At 39.1% G+C, this 20,846-nt stretch overlaps 1 protein-coding gene across 16 annotated transcripts in view, besides 1 other annotated feature; it reads right to left on the bottom strand.

Moving 5' to 3' along the window:
* ST3GAL6 (ST3 beta-galactoside alpha-2,3-sialyltransferase 6) overlaps window positions 1–20,846 on the bottom strand; it is a 63,591-nt gene that overhangs the window by 40,041 nt on the left and 2,704 nt on the right. The window lies entirely within an intron of this gene.
* Window positions 11,388–11,437: a silencer, noted in NCBI's record as "silent region_14561". NCBI's record gives its function as "represses an Ori minimal core promoter by ATAC-STARR-seq in GM12878 lymphoblastoid cells {active_cell/tissue: GM12878}" and the evidence as "EXISTENCE:reporter gene assay evidence [ECO:0000049][PMID:35858748]".

The following is a 20,846-nucleotide window of genomic DNA, read 5'->3' as shown; positions in this document are numbered from 1 at the left end:
ATGAAAAAAATCTCAAACCTCTCTTGCTACAGCTATTTTTACACAAGACTAACACACACACACAGACACGCACACACAAAATGCATGCTCTTTAGGACGTTAAAAACAATTATGCTAAATCTACTCTGCCTGTGTGCTATAAAAGAACAGCATGGTTTATGGAGTATTTTAAGTCCATTATTATGGTATTAATATTCCGGTATTTTGCCTATTTAAGTTAAAGGCACTTGAAAAATAGCAGCTGCATGAATATCTCATTAACCCTTGTGCTGTTTCTTAAAAGCAGAAAATGAAATTCCCACATGGAAGATACCCTCTTTATACTAGAAAAAATGGCAACATCCTTATCTTCAAAGACAAGATGTTGAGACAGAGCTTGTTGAAATAACTCTTATCTTTTAAGCCTCCCCACACAATTTAGCTGCATTTTCACAGTTTATTATGTTCAATCTAGTATATAAGTTCAGGCCGGGCGCGGTGGCTCACACCTGTAATCCCAGCACTGTGGGAGGCTGAGGCAGGTGGATCACGAGGTCAGGAGATCAAGACCATCCTGGCTAACATGGTGAAACCCAGTCTCTACTAAAAAGACAAAAAATCAGTCAGGCGCGGTGGCAGGCACCTGTAGTCCCAGCTACCCAGGAAGCTGAGGCAGGAGAATCGCTTGAACCGGGAGGTGGAGGTTGCAGTGAACCGAGATTGTGCCACTGCACTCCAGGCTGGGCGACAGAGCGAGACTCCGTCTCAAAAAAAATAAACAAATAAATAAAAAATAAATTCAGACACACTGAAGAGATATTGCATGTTCAGTTCCACACCACTGCAATAAAGCAAATATCACAATAAAGCAAGTCACAAATTTTTCAGTTTCCCAATGGATGTAAGTTATGTTTATACAACAGTCTATAAGTGTGCAGTAATAGCATTGTGTCTAAAAACCAATGTGCATATCTTAATTTTAAAATATTTTACTGCTAAAAATGCTAATGATTGATCATATGAGCCTTCACTGAGTTATAATCTTTTTGCTAGTGGATGATCTTGACTCAGTGCTTATGGCTACTAACTTATCAGGCTGGTGGTTGCTAAAGGTTGGGGTGGCTGTGACAATGTCTTAAAATAAAACAATGACGTTTGCTGTGTCAACTGACATTTCCCTTCACAAAATATTTCTCCGTACCATGTAATGCTCTTTGATAGCATTTTAGCCACAGAACTTCTTTCAAAATTACAGTCAATCCTCTCGAACCCTGCCACTGTTTTATCAACTAAATTTATCTACTATTCCTAACCCTTTGTTGTCATTTCAACAAAGTTCAGAGCATTCTCACTAGGAGCTGATTTCATCTCAAGGAATCACTTTCTTTGCTCCTGCATAAGAAGCAATCCTCATTCATTAAAGTTTTATTATGAGTTTGTAACAATTCAGTCACTTCTTCAGGCTCTACTGCTAATTCTAGTTCTCTTGCTATTCCCATCAATCTGCAGTTTCTTCCTCCACTACAATCTGGAAGCCCTCAAAGTCATCCCTGAGAGTTGTAATCAACTTCTTCCAAACTTCTGTTAAAGTGGATATTTTGACCTCCCATAAATCACAAACGTTCTTAATGGCATATAGAATGGTGAATTCTTTCCAGAAGGCTTTGAATTTACTTTACCCACATCCATCAGAGGGGTCACTATCTATGTGACCCCTAGACACACTATCTATGTGACACCTAGAGCTTTACAAACTATATTTCTTAAATAATAAGACTTGAATGTTGAAATTATTCCTTGATTCAGAGACTGCAGAATAGACGTTGTTTTAGCAGGCATGAAAACAACATTAAACTCCTCATACAACACCACCAGAGCTCTTGGGTAATTAGGTGCACTGTAGAGCAATAATATTTTGAAAACAATCTTTTTCTTCTAAGCAGCAGGTCTCAATAACTGGCTTAAACTATTCAGTAAACCATGCTGTTCCTTTATAGCACACAGGATGAGTAGATTTAGGACAATTATTTTTTAATAGATGGGTTCTCCCTATGATTCCCAGGCTGGCCTCAAACTCCTGTGCTCAAGTGATCCTCCTGCCTTGGCCTCCCAAATGCTGGGATTACAGGCGTAAGCTACCGCACTTGGCTGATTTAGCATAATTTGTAAGGGTTGTAGGATTTTCGGAATGGTAAATGAGTACTGGCTTCAACTTAAAAGTCAACAGCTGCATTAGCCCCTAACAAGAGGGTGAGCCAGCCCTTTGAAGCTTTGAAGCCAGGCATTGACTTCTCTCTAGCTATAAAAGTCCCAGAAGCCATCTTCTTCCACTAGAAGACTGTCTGTCTACAATGAAAATCTACTGTTCAGTGTAGCCACCTTCATCATTTATCTTAGCTAGATCTGGATAACTTGTTGCAGCCTCTTCTTTAACACTTGCTTCTTCACCTTGCACTTTTGTGTTATGGAGAGTTTCTTTCCTTAAACCTCATGACTTACAACTTTTCTTCTGCAGGTTCCCTTAGTCTTCATGGAAAAGAGTTAGAGCCTTGTTTGGGATCAGGCTTTGGCTCAAGAAAATTTTGTGGCTTGTTTGATGTTCTATTCAGACCACTAATACTCTCTATATATCAGCAATAAGGCTTTCACTTTACCATTTGTGTATTCACTGGAGAAGCACTTGTAATAAGAACTTTTCCTATGCATTCACAACTTGGTTAACTATCTCAAGAGGCATAGTTTCTGGTCTGTATTGGCTTTCAACAGGCTTTCCTCACTAAGCTTAATCATTACTAGCGTTTGATTTAAAGTGAGAGATATACAACTCATCCTTTCACTTGAATACTTAGAGGCTATTGGAGGATTATTAATTGGACTAATTTCAATATTGTTGTGTCTCAGAGAATACGGAAGCCCAAGGGGAGGAAGAAAAACAGGGAAAAAACTGGTCGGTGGTCCATTCAGAACACATAAACATTTATAGATTACGCTGACTGTCTTATAGTGGTGTAGTTTGTGGTGTCCCAAAACAATTACAATAGTAACATCAAAGATCAGTGATCAGCTGGGCGCGGTGGCTCACGCCTGTAATCCCAGCACTTTGGGAGGCCGAGGCGGGCAGATCACGAGGTCAGGAGATCGAGACCATCCTGGCTAACACGGTGAAACCCCGTCTCTACTAAAAATACAAAAAATTAGCCAGGCATGGTGGCGGGTGCCTGTAGTCCCAGCTACTCGCGAGGCTGAGGCAGGAGAATGGCATGAACCCAGGAGGCGGAGGTTGCAGTGAGCCAAGATGGCGTCACTGCGCTCCAGCCTGGGCAACACAGCAAGACTCCGTCTCAAAAAAATAAAATAAATAAATAAAATTTAAAAAGAAAGAAAAAAATATATATTTTATAAAAAGATCAGTGATCATAGATCACCATAACAGATATAATAATAATGAAAAAATCTGAAATATTAAGATTACCAAGATGTAACACAATGGTAAGAAGTGAGTACATACTGTGGGAAAATGGTACCAATAGGCTTATTGGACAAAGGGTGGCCACAAACCTTCAATGTGTAAAAAGCACAATATCTATGAAATACAATAAAATGAGCCATGCCCGTAACTGGCTCTAACTGCTTCTTTGCGTCTTTACTTCTTTATGAGGGCTCCCATGCCACATAAAACTTGTAAAATTAATGTGCATGCTTTTCTCCTGTTAATCTAACTTATGTCAATTTAATTCTTGGACCCAGCTGGGACCTTAAGAGGATGAAGGTGGGGTTTTTCTGCTGCTATGGTCTCTGTTAGAATATATTTATTTTAAAAAATTCTTAGAAAACAAATACCTTAAAATTGGCAAATATTTTATTTCATAGGCCATTTATGAACTCTAATGCCCTTAAACAGGGAAATAATTATGCTTGATTATGAAAATCATATAGTAACATAAAAAATAGATTTTACCAAAGAAAGTTTTTAAAAGTTGACTACATGAAGATTATTTCCATTTGTTAGACATATGCATATGTAACACCTTATAGTAAATCCTCACTTATTGTTCATAAGTTCTTGGAAACTATGACTTTCAGCAAAGTAAGGTACATCAAAACCAATTTTTTTCATCAATAATAAAATGACAATGAACAAAAATGTTTTGCTTAAGGTTGTAGTTTCCAAAAACCTATTAATGACATTAAATGAGAATGTACTGTACTGAAAGGCATTAAAGAAAAACAAAATCAGCTGATGTGCTGAATTGTAGATTACAGAGAATTTTTTTAAGTACATAAATGTTTCAATTTTCAAAGAAACTGAAAGTGCTTATTTTCATATATCTCTATATACATTTCACTTTTGAAGTGTTAAGTAGCAAACCCATTTAGAAATCAAGAGAAAAGCAAAGGAGTGCTGTTTAATGCCTACTATTAGAGAAGTCTTCACCATGAGACAGAATTTTGAACCTAAAGAAATTATGGATCATGATATATTTGTGCCTCAGGATTATTCTCTCCTTAAATGTATAGAAAGTATAGTTCCTGAGTTTCCATCATCTTCTATCCACTATTACTTATTACTAAAGAATCCATCACAATTTTAAAGTTGGAAGGGTCCTTTAAGATTATTCAGTCTGGGACGAGCGCAGTGGCTCACACCTGTAATCCCAACTACTCGGGAGGCTGAGGCAGGGAGAATTCCTTGAACCTGGGAGGCAGAGGCTCCAGTGAGCCAAGATCATGTCACTGAATTTCAGCCTGGGCAACAGAGCGAGACTCCATCTCAAAAAAAAAAAAAAAGATTATTTAGTCTGGATAAGTTGGTAAAGAAACCTCAAGCACTGTCATACTGGGGGAAACAGGGATTTAGTTACACCTGGGGAAGCTTAAATCAAGGAAGGAAACAAGACAGCCTAGTCACAGGCTTGAAGGTCCTTCATGAAGAGGATTTTACTTGGTTCTGATGGCTACCAAGCAGTTATGCCAAGGCCAGTGAATGCAAAATTCAAGGAGTTAAGTTTGAGCTCAGTACTAGGAAGACCTTGCTAATATTTGGACTGCCTAATACAGGATGCATTCTTGGAAAGTGGGTCACACATTACTAGTATGTTCTAAAGTCCATTTGGCAGGAGTGGGCAGAGCAGTGCTTAACAAACTTTAATAGCCATTGGCATCACCTGAGCATCCTGTTAAGTTGCTCATTCTGATTCAGCATGTCTAGGGCAGGGCCTGGTTATCTGCATTTCCAGCAAGCTCCCAAATCATGCAAAAAAAAAAAAAAGAATGCCAGTGCTGCTAGTCTGAAGCCCCTGCTTTGAGTGGCAAGAATTTAGGGTGAACAGGAACATTCGAATGTTACTTAAACCAGGGTTTCCCAAAGTATGGTCACTGTACAGAGTCTTCTAACTACATTATTTCAAAAGTCTTCAGCCCTGATTTTGAGGCAGATGATTAATAAATAGGTTAAGTGGTTATTAGCAGAGTTTTGTGAGTCCACACATTCAAATGTCCAAAAACATGTTATATCCTATACCCCCAAGGTCATACCCCAACCAGTAATTAATTTTGCACAATTCTAAAGAAGAGATGTTTCACTTCCATAGAAGAATGGTGACCTTATTCTGAGCTTGGAAAGTACTTAAAACTAAGTAAATGTGCTCTGATGAAGAAAAGAATGAATGAATTTGTGATTTCAGTATACTACCATTAATGAAAATGCAGAATGCAAGAAAACATGGCTCTAAAGTAATTTTTCCAGGGATTTCTGTTAAAAAAAAATCATGTGTCTCTGAACGGGGCAGGGAAAGTCCCCTAAGGCCACAATTTGCAGTCTTCTTTTTCATTGTAGGGCTTTACATTATATTCCTAGCCCTGGAATTTCACCTCCCAACCACCTATACAAACTATAAGAATTTCTTAAAAGCTTTGAAGGTACTCGTTTATTGCTTGGTCATATTTTGCTCTGCTCCTCAACTGATCCAATAGATTTGGGCTTTCAATCAGTTCAAAACTCTCTGATGTCTTTCTTGGAGCAGTATGCTGATATCTGAATACACAGCCCTTCCTTACACTTGAAAGCATTCTTATGTTTTTCTCCCAGGGTAAATAAAACTACAACTAAGGGGGAACAAGTTTCTGTCTTTCCTGATTCTAAAAGTCCCCCTTCCAAAGAGTTTACTGTTTTAGTTTGCTTAAAAGTTATAAATAACATTTCATCTGATATTTGAAAGTTCTGTTTTCAAATACTTATTATGCCAATTTATTCTGAATAAGCCTGGATTATTCTGGCCCTTAGGAAATATCCTCTCCAATCTGATTTTTTTCCCTTACCTTTTCTGCTATTTTTAAAAGAAAGAAATGAGTTAGCTTAAGGGTGAACAATCAGATGAGCATATACCAAACCTTAAAATTCCCGTGTTGAAACTGTCCTGCTCTCCACAGCAAATGAAAATGTGACAACACATATACCACTATCAATCAGATGATTTCCTAGAGCTAAGTTACAAATATGAGGTGAATCTTAATTTAGGGCAACTTATAATTTATTATTACAAATAAATCAATACATATGATAGATTTTTTTATGAAATGAAACAATCCTAGATTTATTTCCTAAAACCAGTGGATTGATCCTTAAGGCAAAGTGAATTTCAAAATCATTTCTTGCTAAATTTAACTCTGAATGTTTTCACTTTCTAGGGTAACTTTGTTGATTTCTTCAATAAAGAATTTCTCACTGACTACTCTGTGCTGGACACTGTTTTAGGCTTTGGAGATACAGCAGCGAAGAAGAAAAACAGTTTACAGTTCATCAAGAAAGGCAGAAATTAACAAGTAGTTCACAAGTAATCATCAAGTTCCAATTGTAGGGTGACTAGGGACTGATCCAGATAGGGAAGGACAGGAAGTGTCTCTGAAGGATGAAGAGGAGTTAATCAGATAAAACAGGGTAGAAAGAAAGAACATTCCAGGCAGAGGAAGAAGCATTTGCAAAGATTCTGAGGTGAGAATGAAAATGGTACACTCAAAGAACCGAGGCTGCAGATAGCAGGGGCAGTGATGAAAATAATAATAGCGCAGGCCAGGCGCGGTGGCTCACACCTGTAATCCCAGCACTTTGGGAGGCCAAGGCGGGCAGATCACCTGAGGTCAGGAGTTCGAGACCAGCCTGGCCAACATGGCAAAACCCCGTCTCTACGAAAAATACAAAAAATTAGCCAGGCATGGTGGCAGGCGCCTGTAATTCCAGCTACTAGGGAGGCTGAGGCAAGAGAAACGCTTAAACCCGGAGGCGGAGGTTGCAGTGAGCTGAGATCTCACCACTGCACTCCAGCGTGGGAGAAAGAGCAAGACTCTGTCTCAAAAAAATAAATAAATACAAATAAGAAAAGAAAATAATAGCTAATCTTTTTTGCACACTTACTACATTCCAGGTTTCACAGGCACAAACTCATATAATCCCCACAATAGCACTGAGATGGAGATGTGCACTACTATTCTGACTCTACAGAAAAGGAGACTGAGACCTAGAGAAGTTAAATGACTTGCCCAAGGTCTTAAGCTAAAAGGTATCAAGGCTGGTTTGCTCTTAGGCAGTTTGCTGCCAGGGTCCTTATTCCCAACCTGTAAGCTTCCCAAGAGTGAGATCAACTTGAAGCTTTCCTCATGTTCAAAATTCATTCTGTTAATTTTCAATTTGCACAGAATGACATCATGAAATATTAGGTGTGCCTAACAATAGCTTCAGTCTCATTCCCAGAATCTTGATAAATGTATGGCTCCTAGTTGTGATCTATTTCATTAGGAAATATTATGCATATTTATCACAAAAACATTAATAGAGGTCCAAATGTTAATTTAATAAATGCCCATGAGCTCATTACCAAAAATAACCATCTCTTCTGAAAGATATTTTTAAACTAGATTTATGGTCCCTTCCCTACCCCCATTCCTCTCCTCCCAGTATCATGGATTTGATACATAGTCAGTCCCCTTTTTATATATACACACAAAAACACATACCCACACATACATATTCATAAACATTATAGAGTATATGATATTGTTTTCAGTGTTAACATTTGAATAGCAAATACATAATATTCTGAAATTTGTGTTTATCACTCTATATTTTTAATTTTTAGGTCTATCCATATGGTGCCTAAAGATCTGGTTCATTCTTTTTAAATGCTCTATTCTATCAAACAAATACATCACAAATTTGTACATTCCTTGGAGTAGAAATTAGGTTGTTTTCAGAGACTTGATTATCTAAATGTCATTTTGGAGCCAAATCACTTTTTGCCAATCTGGTAAAAACAGTTTACTAAGCTAGTGAATCGTACAAATTGCTAGAAATACTTTAGAATTGTCGTTTCATTTTTAAATAGAATTTTTTTCTAAAACATAAACATGTTTTTGGTAGTTTAAGTCATGTAACATAAACCTTTGGTAGCTCAAGTCATCCGAAGATACCTAGATATTTAAAACACTATGAATCTCTGAAAAAGGAAATAAAACAGAAAAAGATTTCCAGTTTATGTGAATCTATAATAACGCTGTTGAAAACAAAACATATTGAAGAGAAAGTAGATGCAGAAAATAGTCTTCTTATAACCAATTTCTCTTCCTGATAACCATACTGACGGGGCTGAAAAAATGAGCGCATTGAAGAAAGTAGATAAACAAACCAAGGTTTCTCTGGAATGCTTTGTTCTGTGTTCTGGCCAGAAAATAATCCAAGGCACAACCTTACAGGAAGGTTACCACATTGTTTTTAGAATCAAGGGACTGTGAAGTGCCTACCACATACCATAGACAATGTCTGATAAAGGGGACTATTAAACAGAGCATGAACGAGCCTGGTCTTTAGTCTTGAAGTGGTTAGACTTATAAATGATGTGACTATAAACAATGATCTACTTACATGAACGGCAAATGTTACCTCAAAGACATTGTAACAAGGTTTATTATCAAGTGTAAACTGAAATCTAGTTAACAAATATGTGAAGACTCAAATATCCTAATTATCCTGATGTGATTATATGAATGTATCAAACTATAACATGTGCCCCCAAAATACATACATATAATATGTAACAATAAGGAAATTAAAATAAAATAAATAATATTGCATAATTTTTAAAAATTAAAAAAATAATTTTGTTTTCACTGACAAAAATGTGAAGACTCATGTATGGAATTCTTTCACTGTTAACGTTATTTTCTATAAAGAAGAATCTGAGAAAACATTAAAAGGTAGATCTTTCAAAAGATGGATAACTATTTACTGACGACATTATTCACATTATAAAACAACCCAGTCTAGAAAATACAATACAAAATTCAAAGGGCATTTCTCTTCTGGGGCAGAGGGGAGAAGAAAAGTATCTTCTACAGAAGTGTACGCAATCCCCAAGAAGGTAAATTAAAAAAAAAAATCTGGGCTCCCAATGAAAAACGTCACCCCAGTACACTGAGGGTTACAATGGAGTCTGTTTGGCCTCACTTTCACAACCTACTAGAACAATATTTTAGTACATTCCATAGCCAAGCTAAGGAGTTATCAGTTCTAGATCTCTGAAGCTTAAGAAATCCTCCTGGGCTTAGGAAAACGCTTCCAAGCTTCAGGAGGCACCCCTGAAATCAACTGAAATTCATATCACTAGCATAATAGTTTAGTGAGAAAACCGACCAAGCAGATGGAGCAGCCCTATCATTTGTTCATCTATCCATATATCCATGTATCCATCCATCTCAGCCCATCTCATCCATCCATCTATCCAACCAACCTATCTCATCCATCTATCCATCCAACCATCCATCACAGATAATTATACCCATCTATCACATGCCATGAAATCTCAGGGTGTAAGGACTGTCTGAGCCGAGAGAGTATGGATGTACTAAAGGCAAGCCCATGTAGTCACACATTTAAACACAGACAATAAAACATAACATACACATAACCCCTTGCTCTATCCCTGACCTCTGAACTACAAAGTGTACTGTTTTATATTTTTTCAATTACATAAAATGTGCATTATATATAATATATAATTAGCCTAAAACTCCCTCCTCCAAGGGCAAAATACTTCCCAGTATAAACAACAGGAGCTAGAAGCTGAAAGAGGCTTAACAAGAGAATTAAGAATGTCAAATAGACCAGAAACCAAAACTAGGATTACCTAAACTTCTGAAAGTTGGTGATTTTTAAAAATGTCTTGAAGACTTTCCCATAGTTGCTAGCAATATTCCACTGCTTCTGAACAGAAAAGAAAGGGACAGTTGAAGAATGTACATCCACTCTAGGCTGAGGACATTAAAGACCAAAGGACAGTCTGTGCTAAGAGGATTTAAAAGAAATGCCACCAGCAGAGTCCCTAGGTCCCAAAGCAAGAACACAGGAACTGGCCTGAGCCTAGAGAGTCACTCTGGGGACTTCACAACAGTACTGTCCTTGTGATTCCCCTAACACCAGAAACTCAGCCCAAAATAAAAAACAGATAAGTTCACAGGCGCAGTGGCTCACGCCTGTAATCCTAGGACTTTGGGAGGTCAAGGGGGGTGGATCACCTGAGGTCAGGAGTTTGAGACCAACCTGACCAACATGGTGAAACCCCGTCTCTACTAAAAATACAAAAATTAGCTAGGCTTGATGGCAAGTGCCTGTAATCCCAGCTACTCAGGAGGCTGAGGCAGGAGAATCGCTTGAAACCCAGAGGCAGAGGTTGCAGTGAGCTGAGATCACACCACTACACCCCAGCCTGGGTGACAGAGCAAGACTCCATCTCAAAAAATAAATAAATAAATAAAATTTAAAAAAAAAAAAGTTGTAAGGCAGTTTAAAGACGATCTTTCAATGAGTAAGGAACATCCCATGTCTAGTATGCTCTGCATGGTTCCCTATTACTAACCAAAGTCTAATTGTTGGGCTGCTTTTTAAACTGAGGGCTTTTCTATTTTATCAAAGAAGAAGGAATCTTTGACATGCCAAAGTTCAGCATAATGAAGCCTTTATTTACAACATGCCACACTATTTGGAAAATCAGGATTTCATTTAAAAAATAAAGTGAGCTGATTTTTTTTTTTCCTATCAAAGATATTTTTGGGGCCAAAGGAACTGGGAAAAACTGGACACCAGAGGTGTGGCCCCAATCTGGTCTAGGAGGATGAATAAGAACACTTCAGCAGAGACCCAGGCAAGGTGCAGAAGGGCAGGTCTGCAAGGCTCAACCTGGAGCATGTCAGGAAGCAAACTGGCTCAATCTCAAAGTGTAGTAAAGAGCAGAGTCAAGAAATGAAGAAAAACCAATATAATGATAATGAAACTTGTCTGCCCCCAGGGCACATCACAGACAGGGAGTAAGCAGAAGCAAGAGAGGCAGTTTTTGAGTCAGTTTAGAGAGCCACAGCTTGGACAGGGTGTAGCCACTACTCAGTTGGACCATCTTCAAGACCAAGAACCAAGTGTACTCAGGGGATGCAGAGAAGAGGGATCAGTACCATGGCAGAACCTCTGTATTAGTGCCTAGGACTGCTGAAACAAAGTGCCACATACTGGGTAGCTTAGAACAACCGATATTTACTGTCTCACAGTTCTGGAGGCCAGAAGTCTGAAATCAAGGTGTTAGCAGGGCCATGCTCCCTCTGAAAACTGTAGAGAGGAATCTTTCCTTGCCTCTTCCTAGCTTTGGCTCTGCCACCAATCTTGGGCATTCCTTGGCTTGTGGATGCATCACTACAATTCTCTGTCTTCACGTGGTGTTTTCCCGTGTTTCTGTCTTCACCTGGACACTAATCATATTGCATTAGGGACCCACCCTACTCCAGTGTGACCTCATCTTAACTAATTACATCTGCCATGACTCTATTTCCAAATAAGGTCACAATCTGAGGTACTGGGGATTAGGACTTCTAAATATCTCTTGGAGCGGGGGGGGGAGGGGGGCACAACTGAACCAATTACACCCTCGTTGGGGTGCCCAAGGCTCACCCTCAGCCAGACGGATCCTAATATCCTAGGTCATTCAGAATACCAGGCGCTAATTAATGTGAAAGAGAAACAGGAAAGAATTAATCTATGGTGGCAAAAGTCAGAGTAGTGGTTACATGTGAGTAGTAATAGTGACTGGGTGGGAACACATGGTACCCTTCTGGAGGGCCTGTATTGTCCTATTTCTTCATCTGGAGGCAGCTTGCCTGGGTGCATTCACTGTAAGGAAATTTATTGAACTATACTTATATGCTTTGTGCACTCCTCTGTATGTCTGATATATTTCCATAAAAACTTTACAAAACATTAGAGAAGATGGAGCTATCCAAGAAATAGGGGTCTTGGAAGCCCAGCTAGGACCTCAGGGAGGGGCATTATCTGGGAGGAGTTACACAGCCAGGAGTTGGCAGCTCAGCCCTGCGGGTTCAGACACTTGAGTTGTCTGTTCACCTGAGAAGCAGAATTCTTAAGAGGCTGCTTTATAACTGGAAATGCTGAAGTAATTCATTTAAATAAAAAAAAAAAATTGGGCCAGGCACAGTGGCTCACGCCTGTAATCCTAGCACTTTGCGAGGCCAAGGTTGATGGATCGCTCTGAGCTCAGGAGTTGGAGAACAGCCTGGGCAACATGGTGAAACCCCATCTCCAGGAAAAATACACACACACACACAAAAATGAGCCAGGCATAGTGGCTCACATCTGTGTTCCTAGCTACTCCAGAGGCTAAGGCTGGAGGATCGCTTGAGCTGGGAAGCAGAGGTTGCAGTGAGCCAAGATTGCACCACGATATTCCAGCCTGGGCGACAGAGCAAGACCTTGTCTCAGAAAAAAAAAAAAAAAAAAAAAAAAGAGCCTGGCATGGTGGCTTATGCCTGTAATCCCAGCACTTTGGGAGGCTGAGTCGGGCAGATCACCTGAGGTCGGGAGTTTGAGACCAGCCTGACCAACATGGACAAACCCCGTCTCTACTAAAAATACAAAAAAATTAGCCAGGTGTGGTGGTACATGCCTGGTATCCCAGCTACTTGGAAGGCTGAGGCAGGAGAATCGCTTAACCCAGGAGGCGGAGGTTGCTGTAAGCCAAGATTGCGCCACTGCACTCTTGCCTGGGCAACAAGAGCAAAACTCCATCTCAAAAAGAAAAAAAAAAAAAAAGAAAGAAAGAAAAAGAAAAATATAAGGGCCAAGAAGTCTGTATATTTGAATCAGTAGATTGGCAACTTCTATAGGCAAATCCATGAGTGATAATTAAAAAGTTGTTTGGTAAGCATGGACCCCTCAATAAGGGTATGATCTCCCCTGCACAGTGCTGCAAATATGCTGATATTCTGCTTTGCTCTGTTTTCCTAGCCTCCTTGCAGACCTCTCCCTGACATTCCACTTTCAGGCTAATTAAAGTTCAAGTAAGTTATAGAGTTGTTTCTTTCACATCTAATTCTTCTCTGGGAATTTTAAGCTCTTGCGGTTAGGGTGTTTTGGGTCCTAATGCTTAATTTCCAAGGAAGAGGAAACACCACAAAAAGACAGAGTTAAAATCTACTGGACAACACTCAAACTTAGAAAACATATTTTTGGAGTAAAAATGTAAAATTTTTTAGAGCTAAATATTAACATCAGGTATTGCATAAGCTATGAATAACACATTGATATATCAAATCAAAGGAGTGGAGAGGGGAAGGAAGTCAAAACTTAATTGCAATGCCAACAAAGAAATACAAACCAAATATTGATGAAAATGTATTTGTACATTGTCATACACATAATTGTGTAAAATGAAGCTGTGAATAGAAAGCACTTGGCTTTCTACTGTGTAAAATATATGAAGAAGGTACTGAAAGGTTCGAGGCCACACATTTGTAGTGATCCTCTTGACTCTTCTCATTGGATGTCTCAATCCCGTCAAATCCCATCTCTACTATCAAACTTCATACAGAATCCCCCACCTCAAAAGTCACAAATGACACTTCACATTTCTATCCTTCACTCAAGTTATTAAAAGTGAGAGTGCTAAATATCAATTATATATTAACTTAACTAATGTTTTCATCATATTCTGGTGACAACAGCAATTGGAAGGAATGTATTACATGCCATATTGTAAGCCCCAAGTCCAAATTTAGAAGCAACATGTAGAATTTACCTGTTATAAATTGTTTATATAGACCTACCTCCCTAAGTGCCTTATAGAGAGATATAAATATATAAGCCATAGGCCTCTAAGTCTGATCCAGCTGGCTCCTACGGCCTGTCCTGCCTTATCTCCTGAAATGCTTGACTCTTGACTCATCTCCTGAAATGCTTGACTCTAGTAACACCAAACTTTGTGCACTTCTCAATCCTTCTTGGCAGTTTCATGTCTCAGCGCCTTTGGTCATACTGTTCCTGCTGCCCGGAATGTTCTCCCTCTCCTCTCACCCTGCCCCCCAATTCCCCTCCCACAACATTCCCACTCCCCAATATAAATTGGAATAATCTGTTAGGATTCTGTTCTTCAAGGAGGACTTCCCTTTCTATCTCTACCCTGCATCTGGATGATGACATAGGAGTCCAAGAAAGCATATGTAAAGCTGTTTCAAGATCAGAGATAACTACAGTGTTTCTATGTTTTGAACCATAAAAAAAAAAAATCTCAGATTTCAAGAACATTCGGAGAGAACGGTTTTTGCTCCTTAAGCCTAGTTTATTCTGAAAAATTCATAGCTCTATTCAACCTACAGATTTTCTCTCCCTAACTCCACTTGAAAGCATATGTACATACATGCATGCACACACACACACACACACACACACACACACACTGAATCCCTCTACTATATGCCCATGGATCCCTTTATAATAGCAGAGTACTTGGCATATGATAGATGCAAAGTATTTGTTGCTGTTCGCTGAAGAATGATGAAAGAAATATAATAACATAGGTAGATTAACATAGTCCAAAGGGAAGCCAGGTGCTAAGAGGAAACAGATCTGAGAAAAAATTAGAGGTATATAAGAACAATCAGAAAGGGTTTCTGGGGAAAGTCAATTTTTAACTAATTGAGGAAGAATAGAATTGTCATAATAGCTATAAAAACAGAGTTATAATAGTAATAGTGGCAGATAACACTGATTAAATATTTGATATTTGGCAGAAACTATGCTCAAATATTTGTATGTGTTTTTTTCATTATCACAATTACTGTGATGTGGATATTATTTCAAATTTATAGATAAGGAAAGTAAGGCTCAGAGAAGTTAGGCTATTTGTTCGGAGTCATGCAGTGATAAGTTATGAAGCTGGAAACTGAACACGTTATAATCTGGCTTAGATGGGAGAGTGTGGAGGAGAAGGAGAATGGCACTGAGTGTCAAAGAACAGCCTGAGCTGAAGCACTAGGAGACCTGCGTGGCTACAGCGTCAAACAGGACAATAAAAAGAAAGTTAGCAACATAAGATGGCAGAAAACCTCAAAAATCAGTGAGAGAAATTCTCTGGATTTTTAAGCAGAAAAAAAATAATGAAAATCATTGATGGTCATAGAGAGCTTGAATATAAGATTTTTGTAAGAATATGATTTTTTATTCTATGACTAAAGCAGAAGAACCATACACATCAAATTTGTAAAAAAAAAAAAAAAAAAAAAAGTGTTTTGCAATAAGAGAGCCAGATTTGCCCTCCAAAAAATTCAGTGTGTGCAAAATATTTATAGTTACTTGGTGATCAGAAAACACACATATCTCCTTACATCCCGTTTATCAAAAAATCCAATTATTTATCATTTAATTGTAGCATATCTGGGATAAAAGAATAATAATTAGCTAAATCACTTCGACATCTACCTGAAATATTGGCTTTAAATATTAAAAATATTTTGACAGCAATGTCCTTTATCTCACAAGATCACTTACAACAGAAAGCTCCTTTAATTACCACAACCTATCAATTAAATAAGATTATAAATTACATTTAATTGCTGTTCTAAAATGTAGTTGAAAAATTCATTTGTACCCTATTTGAATGCCTGGATTATCTATCACCTCACTGCTCTCATCTAAATGCAACTGCTTAACCCATCTTACAGTTTTTAAATGCAATGAGTTATCCACAAAAAAGACAGAATTAAAAAAATAAAATCTACAATCTCCTTTTATTCTTTGGCCCTATGCTAACCATAGAAAATGTACACATTCCCTATATCTGCTTCCTCCACCCCTTAATACATTAAGGACTCTTACATATTAAAGTTGCATAAGATTTTAATAAAAGCATTTGAGACTTCCTTCTAGGTTTCCTGCCTAAATATTTGTAATGGAATATTTCCTAAGCTGAAAACCCCACTAAGAGGTCAGAAGCAACAGGCTGATACCTCTTAAGACTAAAATCTAATGGTATGGGAAAGGTGATTTCATAGAATCAGCTCAAAGACAAGAGGTCTGTGTTTATATGGCATTTTGCATGGGTTTTTTTGGGGTTTTTTTTTTGTTTGTTTGTTTTCTGTCTCAATTTCCTTCAAGTCAAGTCTACTACTGGTTATTTCTCATCTTCTGCTAGCTTTAGGCTTGGTTAGCTCTTGTTCCTCTAGTTTCTCTAGATGTGATGTTAGGTTGTTAATTTGGGATCTTTTTGAATTTTTGATGTAGGCATTTGGCACTATAAACTTCCCTCTTAGCAGTGCTTTAGCTGTGTCCCAGAGATCTGGTATACTGTATCTTTGTTCTGATTAGTTTCAGAGAACTGATTTCTGCCTTAATTTCACTGTTTTCCAAAAAGTCATTCAGGAGCAAGTTCTTTAATTTTCATATAATTGTATGGTTTTGAGTTATTTTCTTAGTATTGATTTCTATTTTTATTGCATTGTGGTCTAAGAGTGTGGTTGGTATGATTTTGGTTTTTTTGAATTTGCTGAGGATTGTTTTATATCCATTTGTGTGGTTGGTTTTAGAGTATGTGCCATGTGCAGATGAGAAGAATGTATATTCTGTCATTTTGTGGTGGAGAGTTCTGTAGATGTCTATTAGGTACATTCTGTCAAGTTCAGGTCCTGAATATCTTTGTTAGTTTTTGGCCTTGATTATCTGTCTAATACTGCCAGTGGGGTGTTAAAGTCTCCCACTGTTATTGTGTGGAAATCTAAGTCTCTTCATAGGTCTTACCTTGTGAATCTGGGTGCTCCTGTGTTGGCTGCATATATATTTTGGATAGTTAGGTCTTCCTGTTGAATTGAACCCTTTATCATTATGTATTGCCCATCTGTATTAGTTCATTCTCACACTGCTATAAAGAAATACCTGAGTTTGGGCACAGTGGCTTATGCCTGTAATCCCGACACTTTGGGAGGCCGAGGCAGGAGGATTGCTTGAGCCCAGAAGTTCAAGACTAGACTGGGCAACTCAGTGAGACCCCGTCTCTACAAATAATTTTTTAAAAAATCAGCCGGGTGTGGCGGTGTGTATCTGCAGTCCCAGCTACCTAGGAGGCTGAGATGGTAAGATTGCTTGTGCCCATGAGGCTGAGGCTGCAGTGAAGAATGATTGTGCCACTGCATTTCAGCTTGTTCAACAGAGTGAGACCCTATCCAAAAAAAAAAGAAAGAAAGAAATACCTGAGACTAGGTAATATAAAAAGCAAAGAGGTTTAATTGGCTCACGGTTCTTCAGGCTGTACGGAAAGCATGACTGGGAGGCCTCAGGAAACTCACAGAAGTCTCCTGGCAAAAGGTGAAGGGGAAGCAGGCACATCTTACATAATTGGAGTAGGAGGAAAGGCGGGGGTGGGGGGAGGGCGGGGGGAGGCTAAACAACCAGATCTTGTAAGAACTCACTCAGTATCAGAAGAACAGCACCCAGGGGGATGGTGTTAAACGATTAGAAACTGCCCCCCATATCCAATCACCTCCCATCAGGCCCCACCTCCAACACTGAGGATTACAATTGAATATGAGATTTGGGTGGGGGCACAGATCCAAACCATATCACTATCTTTGTCTTTTGTGGTTTTTGTTGGTTTAAAGTCTGTTTTGTCTAAAATTAGAATAGCAACCCCTGCTTTTTTCTGTTTTCCATTTGCTTGCCAGACTTTTCTCCATCCCTTTACTTTCAGCCTTTGGATATCATTGAATGTGAGATAGGTCTCCTGAGGTTTCAGGTTTTATGCCACTGTGTTAATCAGAAAAGCCATAATTTAGTTGTTTTGTATGTTAGTTAAGTATGTGAGTTAACAATGGGCCAAAGAATCTCAAAAATAATTTTCTATCTAAAAATTGTGCCAAGTCTCCCTAGATACTAATAGAGTGGTGATGATGAGACATCTTGAAATCAAAGGACAAGAGGATAAAAGGAATACTGTATAGGCGTCTCTGAGCTCTGCCTGTCTTTGTGATATTCCTGTGCTCTGCCCTAGGGAAAAGAGAGGGGAAATCAGTTATGGTAAATTAGTAGAAAGAAAAAAAGGCAACTAAGGGTAGAAATTTGTGTGTTTATGTGTGTGAGAGAGAGAAAGAGAGACAGAGAGACAGGAAGGGGCCGCGTGTGGTGGCTCACGCCTGTAATCCCAACACTTTAGGAGGCCGAAGTGGGCGGATCACCTGAATTCAGGAGTTCAAGACCAGCTTGGCCAACATGGCGAAACCCCATCTCTACAAAAAAAATACAGAAAATAGCCAGGTGTGGTGGTGCATGCCTGTAATCCCAGCTACTTGGGAGGCTGAGACAGGAGAATCACTTAAATTCAGGAGGCAGAGGTTTTAGTGAGCGGAGATCGAGCCACTGCACTCCAGCCTGGGTGACAGAGCAAGACTCCACCTCAAAAAGAAAGAAAAAGAAGAGACAGGAAAGCCTATCATGACTGGGTGAAGACTGAATTAGGCTCTCATCAAAAATCTCCAGGCATGCCAATTCTAACTAGAATACGATTCAAACTCCACAAAATCTGCCTTCCTATCTTACTGACTACATCTCCTCCCACTCCGTCTTTTGCACTCTTCTTTAACTACATATTGTCTTAACCACTCTCTTCTCACACTGCACCTTCTGTTTCTCAAACGACCCAAATTCACTCATGCCTCATGTATTTGTAACTCATTTTTTGACTCTGCCCCCCATAAAACATAAGCTCTGTAAGAGCAGGGGCTTTGCTGTGTCCAACACGGCACGCTCCCAACCCCACCCACAAGAACATCTCTTGTTACATGGTGGACATTCAGTGAATGTTGGTTGACCATTAGGGAAGTCCCATCTCATGGATGACCACATGGAATATCACCCAAAGTCCACTGAAAAAAACACTTTCTGCTCCCTTGTTGCCCCCATCTTTCAGCATAGTGACTCTGACCCACAGCCATAACAACTCCAGGCCTGCTTCCACAACCTGTGGAAGGTGAGAATAACCCTCCCACCTCTGGAGGAATCTCCAGCTTCCTTGCCGTCTCCTCTTCTGGGGGCCTTGTTCTCATCATGTCCTAAAGATCTTTCCATTCCCAACCAAATAAAAAGTAAATCAATGTTTAAACCATCTTTCAAAGCCTAGCACTAAATACATTGCAAAGTATGCAATGATGCTATCTGTATACTTTGTCTTAGGCTAAGCATATAAGAAGGGGAAAGAGAGAATGGGGGAGAAGATAACTTTTCACTCAGCTTTCCAATGTTTTTAAGAAAATCTCCTAAGGGCTAGGTGCTTTCCTTTCCCTCTATCTCAATGGTGCAGGAAGAGGAAGGCCCCTGGTCAGATACAAAAGTTTGTGGCAGTAAAAAGGTAAACTGGACAATCCTCCTAGATGACCAAAAGCTCTCCAAGAAAAACAAACATGGGCACAAGGAAGAAAACCAGGTCTTACTGATCCTGTTATCTTTTACTTTCATAACCTCACTGCCAGAATCTCAGCACTTCTTAGCCTGATTATACGACAGTCAAGTTCCTGACCAAGTCTGAGACACTGCAGCTGATTCAGTGCTGAGGTGTCACCATCAGGGGAAAGAACTCCAGCTATCCCACAATGGTGAGGGAATTGTGTTTCTGACATCCTGATATGGAATTGTAAATAAAATTTCCTACCAAAACACTATAATATCCAATGTATACATTCTATTCCATGCATCAAGCTCACTCCAAATCAAAATCCATTTTAACCCCTAAGGGTTAAATTGGAAACTGTGATGTGTGATGTGTGCTATTATCCATCACAGTTGGGACAGACAGGAGAGAATGTTTCATTTCAACTGTGAGGGTGGGGATGTAACCCTGGGAAAACCTCTTCCAGGTAACATATAGCTTGAGTAGGAGCTTCAGTGAAAATGTATTCAGAAAGGAAAGAACTTTTGGAATATGCCCATTGAAGACAGCATAAACTCCTAGATTTCGCCAGACCCTGATCACCTAAGTGACACATCAGAGATGTGCAGAAGATAGAAGGTTCCTGGCTGGTGAAAGTCTAAAGCTGTCACAAGGAAGGCAAAGTACGCAGACCACCTATTCAAAAAGCCCAGCCTGGGGATAACTAGAAAGGCATATTCAGACCAAGGTATATATAAATGGAGGATATGCCAGGCAAAGGAGAAAGATATGCACAGGAAATGGAAGAATTTGTGCAGAATGTATACTGCAGAGGATTCCTGGGATGGTGTAGGCAGAGGTAGAGTCAAACCTTTATGTGAGCCACTGCAACTCAACCTAAGGCAATCTTGGTTTTTTAAGCTATAAAATGGGGCTAAAAATTCCTTTCTTGCAGGAGTTTTGTCAGGAAGATTAAATAAAATAGCATATGAGAACACACCAAAAATCAGAGTGGGTGCCAAATAGGAGTTCCATGCTTCCTTCACCTTCTCAATAAGCATCACCTAAAATGCATACTAAACAGATCTCTGGTCACCACTCCTGGATGGAAGCACAATTTCCATGGAAGCCATC

This window comes from Homo sapiens, chromosome 3, assembly GCF_000001405.40.
Source record: "Homo sapiens chromosome 3, GRCh38.p14 Primary Assembly".
NCBI lineage: Eukaryota > Metazoa > Chordata > Mammalia > Primates > Hominidae > Homo > Homo sapiens.
The sequence above is the reverse complement of the archived record's forward strand: the minus strand, read 5'-3'. Positions and strand labels throughout refer to the sequence as shown.